The 16,839-nt window shown below is 35.3% G+C and overlaps 1 long non-coding RNA gene across 1 annotated transcript in view; it reads left to right on the top strand.

Moving 5' to 3' along the window:
• Positions 1-4,764: 4,764 nt before the first annotated feature.
• Positions 4,765-16,839, top strand: part of LOC107984572 (uncharacterized) — a 28,043-nt gene continuing 15,968 nt past the window's right edge. Inside the window, exons 1-2 of the long non-coding RNA XR_001750066.1 lie at positions 4,765-4,850; positions 5,153-5,311. This is a non-coding gene — a long non-coding RNA (uncharacterized LOC107984572). The remainder of the gene's footprint in view (positions 4,851-5,152; positions 5,312-16,839) is intronic.

Below are 16,839 nucleotides of genomic sequence, written 5' to 3' on the forward strand. Positions count from 1 at the left end.
ATGGCTTCCCAAAACACTTTTCTTAAGCCTTTGGTGGTCTCTCCTCTCATTTATGTTCACTGTGAAATCTTTTACTCCTGTGGCTTCCAATAACGCTCCTATTCTCACTATTTTAATCTTTATCTAATTATGAACTGAACTGTTTCCAGGCCTGCTTCAATCTTCAAAGAGCATGGATATTTGGATATAGAGCTATCCTTTCAAGTTCAAAATGCCTGCTTATGGCTGGTCTCTTTATCTTTAAAACTGGATCTCAGTGGATATTCCTCAGTTCTATTACAATGCTCACCATCTTCTGACCAACGAGGTTGAAAATCAGGGAGACAGAGACATTGATAACAAGTTCTAACCTTACTCGGTTAAAAACGAGCTGTCATCAGTTCTAATTGTTTCTATGAAGCATCATGAAGACTTGCCCTCTCTCCTCTGGTTCCAAAGTCACCACCTGCGTACCAAACTTCCAACTTGCATTATGGAAATTACCTTCTGGTTTCCCTGCCTTTGCATTTTCAGAATCTTTTATTATGTATACACCACCCCCAGATTAATCTTTATGAAGTGCCACTTTCATCATGTTGCTTTCCAGCTGTTCTCTATGGTACACAGTGGCTCTCTGAATTTTCAGCACTCCACAAATTATCCCCAATCATTCTGATCAAATATAGGCACACCTCAGAGATATTGTGGGTTTTGTTCCAGACCACCACAATAAAGGCAATATTAGAATACAACAAGTCACACCATGTTTTTGGTTTTCTAGTACGTATAAAAGTTATGTTTATACTATACTGTAGTCTAATAAAAATGCAATAGCATTATGTCTAAAAAAAGTACATACCTTAAATTAATCATTATTTTTAAGAATAAAATACCTTTATCTGCACTTTCAGAGAGTTTTAATCTATATGCTGGTCAAAGGTCTTGCCTCAATGTTGAGGCTGTTGATTGACCAGGGTGGTGGTTGCCGAAGGTTGGAATGGCTATGGCAATTTCTTGAAATAAAACAACAGTGAGGTTTACTGCATCCATTTTACCTTTGCTTTCATGAAAGAGTACTCTGTAGCATGTGAAGCAATTTGGTAGTATTTTACCCACAGAGCTTTTTTTAAAACTGGAGTTAATCCATTCAAACCTTGCTGTCACCTTTTCAACTAAGTTTGTGTAATATTCTAAGTCCTTTGTTGTAATTCCAACAATGCTCACAGCATCTTCACCAGGAATAGATTCCATCTCAAGAAACCACTTCTTTTGTTCATCCATAAGAAGCAGCTCCTCATGCATCCAAGTTTTATCAAGAGATAGCAGCAATTCAGTCACATAATCAGGCTCTATCTTTAACTATAGTTCTCATGCTATTTCTACCACATCCACAGTGACTCCCTCTACTGAAACTTTGAACCCCTCAAAGTCTGTCATGAGAGTTGGAATCAACTTCTTCCACACTCCCATTAATATTGATATTTTTACGTCCTCCCATGAATCATGAATGTTCTTAAAGGCATCTAGAATGGAGAACTTTTTTCTAGAAGGTTTTCAATTTACTTTGCCCAGATCCATCAGAAGAATTACTATCTGTGGCAACTATAGCCTTACAAAATGTATTTCTTAAATATAAGATTTGAAAGTTACAATTACTCCTTGATCCATGGGCTGCAGAATGGATGTTATGTTAGCAGACATGACAACATTAATCTCCACGAACATCCATATTGGAGCACTTGGGTAACTAGGTAAATTGTGAATGAGCGGTAATATTTTTAAAGAAAACTTTATTTCCTGAGCAGTGAGTCTCAACAGTGGGCTTAAAACAGTCAGTAAATCATGCTATAAACAGATAGATGTGCTATCATCCAAGCTTTGTTGTTCCATTTATAGAGTACAGGTAGAGTAGATTTAGCATTATTCTTAATAGCCCTAGGATTTTTGGAATGGTAAATGAAATGAACATTGGCTTCAACTTAAAGTCACCAGCTGCATTAACCCCTAACAAGAGACTCAGCCTGTTCTGTGTTCTGTGAAGCTTTGAGGTCAGTCATCGATTTCTGCTGTCCAGCTATGAAAGTCCTAGATGGCATCTTCTTCCAATAGAAGGTCGTTTCATCTAAATTAAAAATCCATTATTTAATGTACCCACCTTCATCAATTATCTTAGATTATCTGGATTACTTGTTGCTTCTTCTACATCAGCACTTGCACTTTTATGGAGATGGTTTCTTTTCTTAAACCTCATGAACCACACTCTACTATCTTCCAACTTTTTTTCTGCAACTTTCTCACCTCTGTTAGCATTCACAGAATTGAAGAGAATTAGGGTTTTGTTCTGGATTGGGCTTCGGTTTAAAGGAATGTTGTGGCTGGTTTGATCTTCTATCCAGACCACTAAAACTTTCCGCATACCAGCAATAAGGCTATTTTGCTTTATCCTTAGTATGTTCACAATTTGACTAACTTTTTGGTGCAAGATGCCTAGCTTTCTCAGCTTTCGGCATGCTTTCCTGGCTGAACTTAATCATTTCTAGCTTTTGATTTAAAGTGATAGATGAGCAACTCTTCCTTTAATTTGAACACTTAGAGGACAATGTGTAGTTTTGAATTGGCCTAATTTCAATATTAGTGTATCTTAGGGACTAGGGAGGCCTGAGGAGAGGAAGGGAGATAGGGGAACTGCTGGTCGTCGGGCAGTCAGAACACACACAGCATGTATTGACTAATTTTTTTGTCTTATACTGGCACAGTTTGCAGCATCCCAAACAATTACATTAGTATCCCAAAAGATCACAGATCACTATCACAGATCTAGTAACAGTAATTAAAGTTTGAAACATTGCAAGAGTTACCAAAATGTGACATAGATGCACAAAGTGAACACATAATGTTGGAAAATGCTGCCAGTAGATTGGCTTAATGAAGGCTTGTCACAAATTTTCAGTTTGTAAAAACTCCAGTATCTGCAAAATGCGATAAAGCAAAGCACGGTAAAATAAGATATGCCTGAACACTTCTTCACAGCATACACCCTTTCCCCAGTCACTGTTTGTGAAGCTACTACTTCCATGCCCTGGTTCAAACCCACAACAGGTGGGCGATCTTCCACCACTGCTCTTATTCAGGTACCAGTCATCCTTCAAAACCTAGATCACAGTCTTTATTTTCTATAAACACTCTGAAATAAAGCTGTTTCAACTCTTATTACTCCTTTCCTTTTTCTGTTTTTACACTGTATTTAGAGTGAGTGCTGCATTGTTAGGCACATGTGAGTTTCGTTGTATGATTGGTTATCCCAGTCAAATTTTAAATTTCTTAAAAAGTCAAGCCCTAGGCTTTCTCTGTGTCCTCAGAGTATTAGCAAATTTTAGGTTCTCTGGAGCAGCTCAGTAAGTTCTTTTTAAATTTGGTTTTAAATATATAAGTAATTGTCATAGGACTGTGTACTGAAAGTTTCTTTTTCCTCACTGATCTATATTACCACCTGTAACATACACCAAAGTTTCTTATTTTCATGCACCTAATTATGGATTCTCTACAAAGTCTTATTGTTCAATACCACACATTCAAAATTATAATTTTGATTTAAAGTGATAGATGAGCAACTTTTTTTTTAATTTGAATACTTAGAGGCCAATGTAGAGTTATGAACTGGCCTGATTTCAATACTAATGTATCTTAGGGACTAGGGAGCCCTAAGGAGGGCCCTCCCTCGTCCCTAAGATACATCAATATTGAAATTGTAAACCAAAGTCTAATCCAGGGCAAAGCGTTGGGTATTTTTACCGTACATGTACTTAGCAATAAGCTAGACTAGTAGTGTTTAGTTTAACTAAAGCTCATAAACTTTGGCAAAATATTCTTTTTGAATTTGAACTTATATTATGTCTTCTTTTGTAGTTCTTCAGCTATTCTCTTTTCTTTATACTTATATATGCATTTTAAATAAATTTTTAAATTGAATACAGAGTATACAGTTAGTAAGAGTATAGGTCAATAAAACTTCACACAATAAACCCATGATGGTAGGAATAATTCTAAAATATCTTGTCCCTGTTGTTCATGCTTTTTTTTGTTAATTCTTAGGACTGTGAATGTGATAAGTTTCATTTCTGTAGTTAGGACATGCTATATGTCCCAGCTGACTTTATGAAAAAGAGGTATCTTGGATAGGCCTGACTTAATTAAGTGAGTGCTTCATAGGGACTGGGCTCATTCTGAGGACAGAGATTTTAAACATGCAAAGGAAAACCTCTATTGCTGTCTTTAAGATGGGGAGGGACACAGGGCAAGGAAGGTGACATCAGTCCCACATACTCGAGGAATAAAATTCTGCCACGACTGTGTGAGCTTGGAAGAGGATCCCAAGCTCTAGAAGACAATGCTGCCCTGTAGGTAGACACTTTGGTTTTAGCCTTAGGAGACCCTACGCAAGGAAGCCAGGTACATGCTGATATGGTTTGGCTGAGACCCCATTCAAATCTCAACTTGAATTGTATCTCTCAGAATTCCCAGGTATTGTGGGACGGACCCAGGGGGAGGTAATTGAATCATGGGAGCTGTTCTTTCCCCTGCTATTCTCATGATAGTGAATAAATCTTATAAGATCTGATAGGTTTATCAGGGGTTTCTCTTTTTACTTTTTCCTCATTTTTTAAGAAGTGCCTTTTGCCTCCTGCCATGATTCTGAAGCCTCCCCAGCCATATGGAACTGTAAGTCCAATTAAACCTCTTTTTGTTCCCAGTTTCAGGTATGTCTTTATCAGCAGTATGAAAATGGACTGATACACATGCCATACCTATATTTCTGACTTACAAAAGCATGAGCTAATAAACATGTGCTGTTTTAAACTGCTACGTTCATGGTAAGTTTGTGTCAGTGGAAATCAATGGAAAATTAATATACTATTTCTTATAAGCAACAACCTCCCCCCACCAAAAATAACACATTCTAAGCAACCCAGAAGCCCCCCTGTCATTTTAATTCTGAAAATGAGCCACGTTTTTCAACTGTGCCATAGCTATGCATACTACCTCTCGGATTTCCTGTTGGATGTCTCCCAATTCCATGTAGTTTACATTACCCTCTAGGAGCACATTTGTCATTTCTAGAGACAGGGGAATGCCAATAATGATGGAAGCAAACTGTATCCTCTCTTTCACTCAGCTTCCTCTCAGTATCTGATGACAATGAGAAATGCATTTGAAGAGATAAACACTTCCCGAAAGACCATCATGATAGGAGCTGATACTCACAGATGCCTTAGTGAATGATTACGTCTCAGGATGCCATAAGGAATACACAGAAGGGTACAATCTCAAGCCTGTGAGTAATTTTATGTTCTAATCCTATTACGTCCGGAATAAAAAATGCTGTGACGGTAAAAACTCTAGTCTGGAAATGGTTGCTACTTCAGCTCTTGTTGTTCCTCATTCAAATAGTTTACGTTTCCTGCCTTTGTGTGTGACACATGTATCATCAAAGCAGCAAAAACCAACTCCCCTTTTCTGCACTGTTTATACAACGCATCCCTTAAGCATATAATATCACAGGACACAACTTTTCTCTAAGTACAGTGTGTTATATATAAATATATATTTATTTATATATTTTTTCTTCATATGTATGAATATATATATATATTCATATATATGTAGGAATCTTTTCTCTAAGCTCTTGCTAATAAACCAAGTACAGCTCTCTTACTTCAAACATTATAATCCAGCTCATCTTATTTCTTATAGGCTTCATGCCTTTCTCATTTCTAAATACTTTTTTTTCTACTGAATAGTTTGTTTATTTACTTGAGGATGGAGGGAATTACATAAGGGAATTACAGCCAATGACTTATTTCTTGCTCTAGAAATAAATTACATTTATATACTCTCTATAGATTAAATTATAGCTACTTTCTCCGTGGGTACGCTCATCTTTTTAGGGAGTAAATGTGGTAGCTCATTTGAATGTAACTGCTATCCTAATCTCAAATACAGTGAAAACTCAAATCAAGTATTCTTAAGAAATGTGAAATTACTGAAGTTAAGTTTTACAAATGGTTGAAGTTCAAAAAACAACAAAACAACAAGAATAAGTGTTTTAAATGGAAATCCTTTTAAACATACAGAGGAATCTCAAGTTTTAAACTAAATATACTAAAATAAGTTTAATCATTTCTTGAAATTGAAGAAAAGATTCTTGTAACTCATGTCATGCATGTTTAATACTGCCCTGAAGCAATATTAAAATTAATATGGAATGAGAATAATATTGCCGTTATTCCTAGACTCTTTTTTTTTTTTTTTTTTTTTTGAGACAGAGTCTCGCTCTGTCACCCAGGCTGGAGTGCAGTGGCGCGATCCCGGCTCACTGCAAGCTCCGCCTCCCGGGTTCAAGCCATTCTCCTGCCTCAGCCTCCCAAGTAGCTGGGTCTACAGGCGCCTGCCACCACGCCTGGCTAATTTTTTAATATTTTTAGTAGAGACAGGGTTTCACCATGTTAGCCAGGATGGTCTCGATCTCCTGACCTTGTTATCCGCCCACCTAGGCCTCCCAAAGTGCTGGGATTTCAGGCATGAGTCACTGTGCCTGGCCTATTCTTAGACTTAATGTCAATAGCCACCCAGACATTGAAGCTCTGGGTTAAATGGTAAAACATGTAAAAGATGTTAGATTTTACACAATTTAGATGCTATGTTAATTTTTTCTGAACTGTCAAGCAAGCAAATGTTCAGGTGCTAAATAAGTTTCAAGGATAATTAAAAGAGAAAAGTCATGCTTTAAAATAAACTTGTCAACTTATTTTCCATAGGAAAATAAAAGGTTTAATCCTTTCATAATGAGTAGCAACAAAATTAAATTCTATTCAGCTCAATCCAATTTTTGAAAAGATTAAAAAAAGTTAGAAAAAATGTTTTTTTCAAAGCCCATGAGCTTTAGCTAAACCAAACACTACCTCTTCAGTATATATCTAATTAAATATGCAATTAAAAATGTTCACTGCACCCTAAGGCCTCCCATCCTGTTTAAATAGCTTTTTGCCCCACTTTAAAAGGCAAGTTCTAACTTTTTAAGTATTTTTAAAAATCCTTCAGATTTTCTACGTGATTTCTCTAGCAAATGCATTTTTCATTAAAATGCACCCCTTTAGAAATATGAACAATTTCTTAAACATGTAATAAGCATAAATCGAACATCTCTAAGTAACTGATTTAAGTAAAAAGGCAGAAAAATAATCTGTGAAAAGAGATTAGTGCCTACTTCCTTTAAAGACAAGTTAGGTATGATTTAAATAACCATACATATTATGTTTTTTTCTTTATTTAGGTGCCAATGGAAAACTATAATGGCCAAATAAATTTTCCAACTTATTGTATATCAATTATATATTATCTAATAAAAATAAAGCTTTGCCTTTTTTATGATTTCAAATAATGCTTCTCCATGCTATGCTTTTAAGTCATATATATGTGCCTATTTTTCACTTAGAACATCTTAGTGTGCTAAAATTGTCACATTATGGAAAATATCTTTGGGAAAAGATCATTTCATATTGTAAGTGCTTTTGACAAATTGACATGAATCAAGTTCAACATTTAACTAAGGACAACTGATTGGTAAGTTAGATCTCAAAGCTTTCCATTTTACCAACTCTACTGAGATAATATAAAAGAATAAAAGTGTTTTTATTACTAGAGTTTTAAAGTAAAATTACATTATTTGGACTTATCCCTTGAAAAATTTTATTTCTTTGATAGTGGTGGGTTTAAAAAATAAGCCAATCTATGGTGGTTCGTAGTAAGGTGCTCACCTACTGCTGGCTCCATCCCTAAAAGCCGACCCTGGGGACAGCACAGAAGGCAAAGCTAGGTTTGCAGATTCCAGATAAAACATAAGTGAGAAATATGTTGCGAAAGCACAGATGCTTTTGCTTTATCCCCATCCCACTTCACTCCCACACACATTTCCCTGATAGATCATGGGCCAATGTGTCACTTCTGTGGAATTTAAAAAAAGACAGTATTAATGTTCTGGGTGGAATCTAGGAAATAATGTTAAGCAATGCTGAAACATGTCCCAAGAGGAAAGCAGATGACAAGAGTGTCACACATACAAGTCACCTAGGATCAATCTTTCCTTCCACATGTTGCCCAGCCCAGGGAAATAGTTCAATATGATTACATGAAAACTAAGAACTACTGATTTAGTGATAACACTATGACATATTTTTCAGATATATCTTCCATATACTTGAAAAACATATTTTCCATATTTCCATATATCTGGAAAACATATTTTACATATTTCCATATATCCGAAAAATATGTCAAAGTGTTACTGCTAAATCAGTGCTTCCTAGTTTTTATAGAAGGATATCTAACCATTTCCCTGGGCTGAGTGGCATGTGGAAGGAAAGGTTAATCAGAGCTGACTTGTACATGTGACACTCTTATATCCACATGTCTGGGAAATATTTTATAATATTTATGATATTCCAAAGTAATAGTTATTTAAAATCGGGAAATATGTGAAGAATTATTGCATTTGTGTAAGAAAAAGAAACAGGAAGTCCAAAGAAAAATGAGGGCAAATCATCCACAGACAATATGCACATGAGGAGATCCAAAAAGCTAAAATTATATGAAAAGAATCTCAAACCAACTAAAATTCAGGAAAATGCAGTCAGTCAACATCCTCATTCACCATGTTACATTGGTCAAATCGACATAAAATAAATCAGATAATACCGAGTGATGGAAAGAAATGTGAAGAAATATGACATGTGTGACTGATATTAGGCATTTCCATAGTAGCACCCTTTCAGCAGAGCAATCTGGCAGTATTTAGTGAAATAAAAACGTACACATCATGTGACACATGGCCTCCCTCTCCTAGTAGTAACTACAGAGATGATCTGTAATAAGGAGTGTAAAGATCACATATAAGCATCTTCATTGCAGTAGCGCTTGTGGGAGAAGAGGCCTGAGGTCATTTAAGTTTCTCTCACCAGGGATTGGACAGGGTAGATGTAAATGGCAAAATATTATGGAGTGATTATAATGAATATCCCATATATGCATAAAGAAATGTGACTACATCTTAAAAACATATTATTGAGTAAAAATAAAAAAGAGAAAGAAAACTGTATGTGATTTACAGCCTAAATCAATGTATGTAAATTATACATAAGACAAACTATATCTATGTGAATTTTATGATGCCTATGAGGTGTAACGAGAGTAGAGTTGGAATACAGGAGCAGACTTTCATGGATTGATGTTATAATGAATAATAATTGACGTGAACTGAAGGTTATTATTAACTAAATTCTCTGTACCTGAGGTTCAAAAGAAAATCTGCTGAATATATTGAGTGCAAATAATACTACTGAATACACTTATACCTACTCAAGAGAATAAATGGATTTAAGCACTTTATGATTCCATTTACATATAAACAATGATATGCTCATTATAAATCTTTCTTATTTTCTCATTAAGTTGGTTTCCCCTCAGCTTTACTTATCTATCTTTTTCTTAGTCTAGTTTGATTTACTGTAGGGAAACTGCAAGCATTCGCATTTACTCCATAATTCAATCTTTTCACTAATCAAATATGACCTTTTCCAAGTTAGAATGTTGTTTTCAAAGTGTGCCTTTATTTTGCTCTTGGAGAATATAAAATCGTTTAGGTTTTTTTTTTGTTTGGTTGTTTGATTGTTTCTAGAAACTCAGAGCTATATCTATTCAGAAAAATAAATAGCAGTAATTCATTAGAGATACGAATGACTAGAAAATGACCTATACCAAAAATAAAATGCCTGTGATTATGTAGAGACAATATTCTGGTGAATATTAAAATATTACCAATTTCACAGCATTCAAACCTATAAGCATAAAACAGTCTTGGTTTAATAAGAATAATTGAATAACTTTCCCTGTTATCTGAAAATGGTCTTTTTGGCATCAGCTGCTGTACCATATATGATTTACGAATTTCCTAGGACAGACTAGTCTAAAGGAAACATCTTAAAATACGAAATAAATTTTCCACATTTTCCCATTATTTTTCAGATTTTAAAATTGATATCTAATTCTGTTTTATAGAATATACTATTAATACTACTTATTATTAAATGTTAATGATAATCTTAGACATAGAATCAGTAAGAAAAGTAGAAAGAGAATTGTGTTATTCAAACATACTTTTCTTTTTAACATAGAGAGCTAACCTAACTCTAATTTAAGGCTAGAAAACAAGAAAGAATTGTGTTCTCATCAACCCATAATGTACCCTTACTTTCACTTCGACATCAACAACCTAAATAATTATCAGATTTGCTCTGACTATGAGGACATTTTGTCTGAAGACATAATGAATAAATGTGTTATTTGAGATAGATTGTGTGATTTGAGAGAAAATGGAAGTATAAGAGGGACTATATTACGTCTTCTGGTCTACCATTGCAAACATAACCGATATTATTCATACAACCAACAAATGTTTACCAAGTTCTTATGAAAATTAAGGTACTAGCAATTCCCTTGAAGACACAGTAGAACTAGTCCCTTTATCCACTGTTAATGTGCCGTGAAACAAACACCAAGATTCTTAGGTAAAAAGATGCTGCAAGTGAGTGGCCTGATAAGATAAGGAAAATAAGACAGTCAGGAACTGGGAGACACAGCCTAGCTCTAGAGCCTATAGCTAGGATTCCTTTATGGTGGGGCCATGCGGTCCCTTTCAAAGGGTAATGAAATGTTTCTTACCTCCCATGAAACTTACATTTTGACCTAGAGATCTTCCTTTCTCAAAATAGGAAAAAATAAAGTCTCAACTTCTGAAGAAGATGACAAGGGTGGATATCCTGTCTCTTTATATCTATAAATGTGTAGGTACTCACATTTATAATTTTGGGGTCTATATTAATTTCCTAGGCATTCTGTATCAAAATACCATAAACTGGGGTAGCTTAGAAAAACATAAATTTATTGTGCTATAGTTCTGCAGGCTGGAAGTCTCAGATAAAGGTGTTGTCAGGGCCGTGCTCACTCTAAAGCCCCTAAGGAATGATCCTTCCTTGCCTCTTCCAGCTTCCAGTAGCCCTGAATAGTCCTTGGCTTGTGGCAGCATAACTCCAATCTCTGTTTTAAACACTTGTCTTTCCTCCATGTCTATGCCGGTGCATGACATTCTCTTTTTCTATTTTCTCCCTCTTGTAAGAATGCAAGTCATATTGGATTAAGAACATACCTTCCTCCAGTATGACCTTATCTAATTTAATTGCATCTGCAGTGACCCCATTTCAACTAAGGTCACACTTGGAAGTACTGTGGGTTGCATTACGATATATCTTCATGGGGGACACAATTCAACCCATGAAATGATGCCCTTCCTGTAGTACAAACCCGCTGCATGTGCAGAATCCATCTGGCTCTCATAGTGTTGCCTGGGGCTGCTTGGTATTGGAAAACAACGCTACACATTTACTCTGGTCACTGTTTTTGCTGTAAGCAAATAAATGTCTGATATTTGATTCAGAGGCATGGTGCTTCTGCTAGGATCGATCTATTGACTTATCCCTCTAACTGTTCAAGTAGAATAATGTCTCAGACTTTGCAAGTTTCCTGACTTGACATCAACTTGCTAAAGGAGGGAGACCCACTAATTCACCACTGGACGTTGTTCCCGTGGATTCAGTACCTGGATCAGTTGGAGGAGCTGCCATCTAGAAACTAAAATTTGTGAAATAGATGCTTAATTATTGACAGTAATTTATTATTTACCTGTTAGTCTAGAATTCAGAAAAATGAATATTTCTTTAGAAATACATTTTCTAATACATTCGTGAAAAGCAAAGCTTTCTCTAAGCTGTTTAGTACAATAGCTGGCAATATGCGTATGATTTGAGGCCTGTTGTTTTCAGTCCCTCATTTTTGCAGACAAATACCCCTCCTGTAGTACATAGGGCTGCTCTATCATATTATTATATAACCATTGGAAGATCAGCCACTGATGATGGGGTAGGAACTGAACCCAGAATTCTATGTTTGGTCTAGGGAATGTGCCTTGGTAAGTCGTTTTTGTTTTTGTTTTTGATAAAATAAAGTACATATTTCAGAAACGCATTACGAGTTTGGTATGTTCCCACTCAGAGATATTTTTTCAGTTGGCAGAGGCTTATCTAGGGAAGGCAGAATTCTGTAGCCAACTAACTAAGCAAGTGTCTAGTGAAGAATGAGGAAAATTCAAGAAGCTCCACACACTAAGCTTTTCCTTGCCAGATATTCTGCAACACCCATGGCTGAAAGTTAATTCCTTCCACTTACCAAGTTACAGTGAAATATAACTCAAGCAAGATTGGTGTGTTAAAATGTGTATTTTTACCAAAGCTCTCTGAGATTATTTCAGCTTCCTCAAAGGAATTACATAGAGTTTGAGGTGAGCTTCCTAAAATGAATAGGAAAAATTGGCAGAAAAAGTGGAAATACAGTCAAGTAAGGATGTAAGTAATAAAGGGATCCCAAATATGTATTGGCAGCCTTGCCTGAAAATTAAATTGCTTTATTTCTACTAGAAACCTTTTAGAAACAATTTCATATAACATAATTACATTAGCTCAGAAAATTAGACAAGGAGATAAAAGGAAAATATAAGAAATAGACCAGAAACACCTGCTCTCTGGATATACTGTATAACTCTCTGAATTGTCTTAAAAATTTTTATGAGACAATTCCCTTTGTATCAGTTCTCTGAAAATGGTTAGAGCAGTGACTTTCAAATCATTCTTTGCCCACCTGTGCAGGAGCCCCACAGGCTCTAACTGGTGGAAGGAAGCACTGGGGAAGATTGATACGCTGGGTCTTTAGAACGCTATTTTAACCACAGCATCTTTGATCATTGAATGTATAGTTCAAGAAGATTGCATTTGATTAAAGTGTTCCTCTGCTTTCTGGGCAAGCAGATTAACATGACAAGAGGAAGCAGCATTTCCTAACTATTAGTTATAATTTCAAACTTAGCTTTGCTACACATTCAGATCACTTTCTGTCAACTACATATGGTTATAGTGTTGGTTTTCAATAGGGATTTACAGTTTTCGATGATGTTGTTCAGACAAATATCATTACAGCATAGCTTGCTCCATTAATACGGTACAGCATTGGAGATACACAGACTGACTGTTACATTGCAATGCAATACTCTTACATTTTTGTCTGTTGTTAAACTAAACAAAACAGAACAAAAAAGAGAATAAGATATCCTATTATGGTGTAGATATAACTGCATTTCTTACCTTGAAGGAAGCATATTAGCCCGATTAATTAAAATAAATGATTACTTAATGAAGTTTCATACCAGCACTAGAAAATTCTTCTTATATCTTTAGAAAAAAATGGTACATTTGAATTTTAAATTCTGTTAAAGACGTAATTAAACCACCATGAAAGTTCTTTTTAACTTTCTCATGAATATTAGCTGATAAGATGTATTCTTCCTTCCGAAATAACTGAAGTTTATAATACTGTGAAGCTGGCTATATAAATGTGATAAAGCTATAAATGTTATAGTTCATACAGTGACAATTAATATAATGTGACTGCCAGAATAGTACTTGAGTAAGTTTTGGAAAAATGTGGATAATAAAGATCAAATGAACCTTAGAAGTTCTTGGAGATTAACCTATTTATTTGCTGCATTACATATGACCCGGTTGCAACTCATTACTCCCGTAGTAATTATTTTTGAGTTATTTGTTTTAAAAGAACATACAGGCTAAAGTTGTTTATGTGATATTTAGTGATTCAAAACATAGCATCTTGAAATTCATAGTGTCAAAACTTATAAAAAGTATTTAAAATCACTAACAGAAAAGAAGATTATCAATTCTATCTTCCTGCCTTTTCTCTCCAGGTTTAAGATTTTCTATAAAGCAATGATCAATTAATTCACAAATTCCTTGTCTGATGAAATTAGCTTAACTAGTGCCTTCTTCTTTGTCTCATTGACAGGGTTATGGCCAAATTAGATGATTTAAACACCTCTTCCTAAAACATTATTTTAAGACATTTGTTTTTTGTTTTTGTTTTTTTGTGACGGAGTCTCGCTCTGTCGCCCAGGCTGGAGTTCAGTGGTGCGATCTCGGCTCACTGCAAGCTCCGTCTCCCTGGTTCAGCCATTCTCCTGCCTCAGCCACCCGAGTAGCTGGGACCGCCACCACGCCCGGCTAATTTTTTGCATTTTTAGTAGCGACCAGGTTTCACCGTGTTAGCCAGGATGGTCTCGATCTCCTGACCTCGTGATCCGCCCGCCTCGGCCTCCCAAAGTGCTGGTATTACAGGCGTGAGCCACCGCGCCTGGCCAGGACATCTGTTTTTTAAACTACTTCATAATATTATGTCAAGTTATGTTTAATTTGAATTATAGTTTTTAACAAATAACAGCTATGGAAAAATTCACTAAGCCACAAAAAGAAATAATTAGTGTCCTTTTATTTTGATAACTTGAGAGAAATAAAAAGGTCTTCTCCATGCATTATATAGAGAAAAGATTGACTCTTTTATTTAAACCAATCAAGTTCCCAAGTCAGTAATATGATTATTATGGAGTATCTTATAGAAGTGATCTCTTCTTATGTTGTATTTTTGGGTATAAATTCTATAACATTTTATTAGTAAAAAATTTGAATCCTCACATCGTCTTGACTGATGAAAATATTTTAATGATACACAGAACAAAATCATTTTAATAATATTTTATCTTATGTAAAAGTTGATTAAAATATTTAATTATAACTCATAATCAAGTTTTATTTGGCATCTAGTTATGCAAATACAGGCTTTCCCAAGCCAGGCATTATTGATATTTGGGGCACAATTCTCCTAGTTATAATTTGATTATGAGTTATAATTAAATTATTAGGAAGTTTGGCAGCATCACTGGGCCCTACACACTAGATGTTGGTAGCATACACATACCATCACAGTAATGCAATCAAAGATGTGTCCAGTCCTTGCTAAATGTCTCCTAGTGAGCAAAAGTTCCCCTGGCTGAAAACCAGTACTCTAATACATATTTGATAAAAGATTGTCCTTTAGGCTACAAGTAGTAAGCTTCATTTATTTGGACTATTTTGGATGTTCAAGTTTCCATATTTTAACAAATACATCTTTATTCTTTGCAAAATAGAAAATAACTTGTAAATATATTATGAGAGTTGATTACAAGATAGGGTAATTGTTTTACAAATAGAAAATTATTAGTTAAATTTCCTATAAATAAATTTTATTTCAGAATATCTTGGAGTAGTAGTAGGTCCTCATGGGTCCACACTGAATTTAGGTAAAATTGCAATAAAGCAAATTAATATAAAATTTCCTCCCATGTATATACCAGAAGAACTATCCATATGCACCTTCCAAGAAAACAAAATTTTAAAATACTAGCCATGCCTTCTTACTAGGTATTGTGCCCTCTGTTACATTGTTATTGGAAAAGAAAGAAAGCAGGTGTAAAACAAAATTGTGTTAGTCTATTTTACAATGATATAAAGGAATACCTGAGACTGGGTAGTTTATATTTAAAAAAGAGATTTATGTGGCTCAGGATTCTGCAGACTATACAAGAAGCATGGTGCCAGCAGCTGCTTCTGGTGAGGCCTCAGGAAGCTCCCAATCATGGCAAAAGAAGGGGTGGCAGGTATGTCACATGATGAGAGAGGCTGCAGTGGGTTGGGGGAGGTCTCAGAGTCTTATTAACATGCAGATCTTGGGTAACTCATTACCACGGGGAGGGCACCAAACCATTCATGAGGGATCCACTCCCATGTCCCAGATACTTCCCACCAGGCCCACCTTCCACACTGGAGATCACATTTCCACATGAGATTTGAGGGACAAATGTCCAAAACCATATCAAAAATGTATACATGAAAACAAAAATTAAGAAGATGCAAAAAGACCACAAAGAAAGAATAGGTTTCTCCAGAGAATTTAGTTACACTTACAGTTATTTTTCCAGAAGCTATTTCTTTCTGCTTAAGACTGTTGGTCAACATGAATAGCAGCTCCTAGAATGAAGACCAAAATGAGGTTACACTCTAGTAAAAATAATTTTTTCTTGAGGCTCTCTTATTTCCTAGACCCTCAAGAATATGTCATACTATGTGTAAAGTGTAACCAATTTTTAAAAGGAGTCATTGTGTTCTAATAAGAATGAAACAGATTCCCCCTAATTCGAAGAGCAGGATCCTAAAAGACGTGAAGAGACAGGGCTACATATAACAACCATGACAGAAGTATTCTACCAGCTACAGTGGGAATCACAGGAAAGGCAGTAGTTACGATTATGGTTCTTCAGAAACTAGGCTCCAGTAAATGTGTGGAGATTTTGATGAATCTCTATAAGGAACATTGTTTGAGACATAAACTTGCCAAAAATATCTGACCAGTAGCATTACACAGAATCCAATACCTGATAAAATAAAAAAGTTGCAGACCACGAGTGACACTACTTGTAACTGCTCAGGGCTAGAAGACATCAGTTCAATAAAGAAAAATCAATGACAAGTGCAAATTATGCCCAGATACATATGAAAGAAAAATTGACAAATGTTTTATAGGGTTATAAGTATGCTTATGCAGGTATGTATACTTATCTATAGTTATATGAAAGTTATGAGGCACATATATAAGCCTGCTTTTTCTATAACAGCACTTTGTTATTATATTGCCAATCTCAACTGCTAAATGACTCCCACAGTATGCAACAATGTCAGGGTGGTGGTTATTTTCAATTAATACTGTATTTGATTTATAAAATAAGGCAGTAAAATATTACTCTCAGTTTGTAAACCA

This window comes from Homo sapiens, chromosome 13 (genome assembly GCF_000001405.40).
Source record: "Homo sapiens chromosome 13, GRCh38.p14 Primary Assembly".
NCBI lineage: Eukaryota > Metazoa > Chordata > Mammalia > Primates > Hominidae > Homo > Homo sapiens.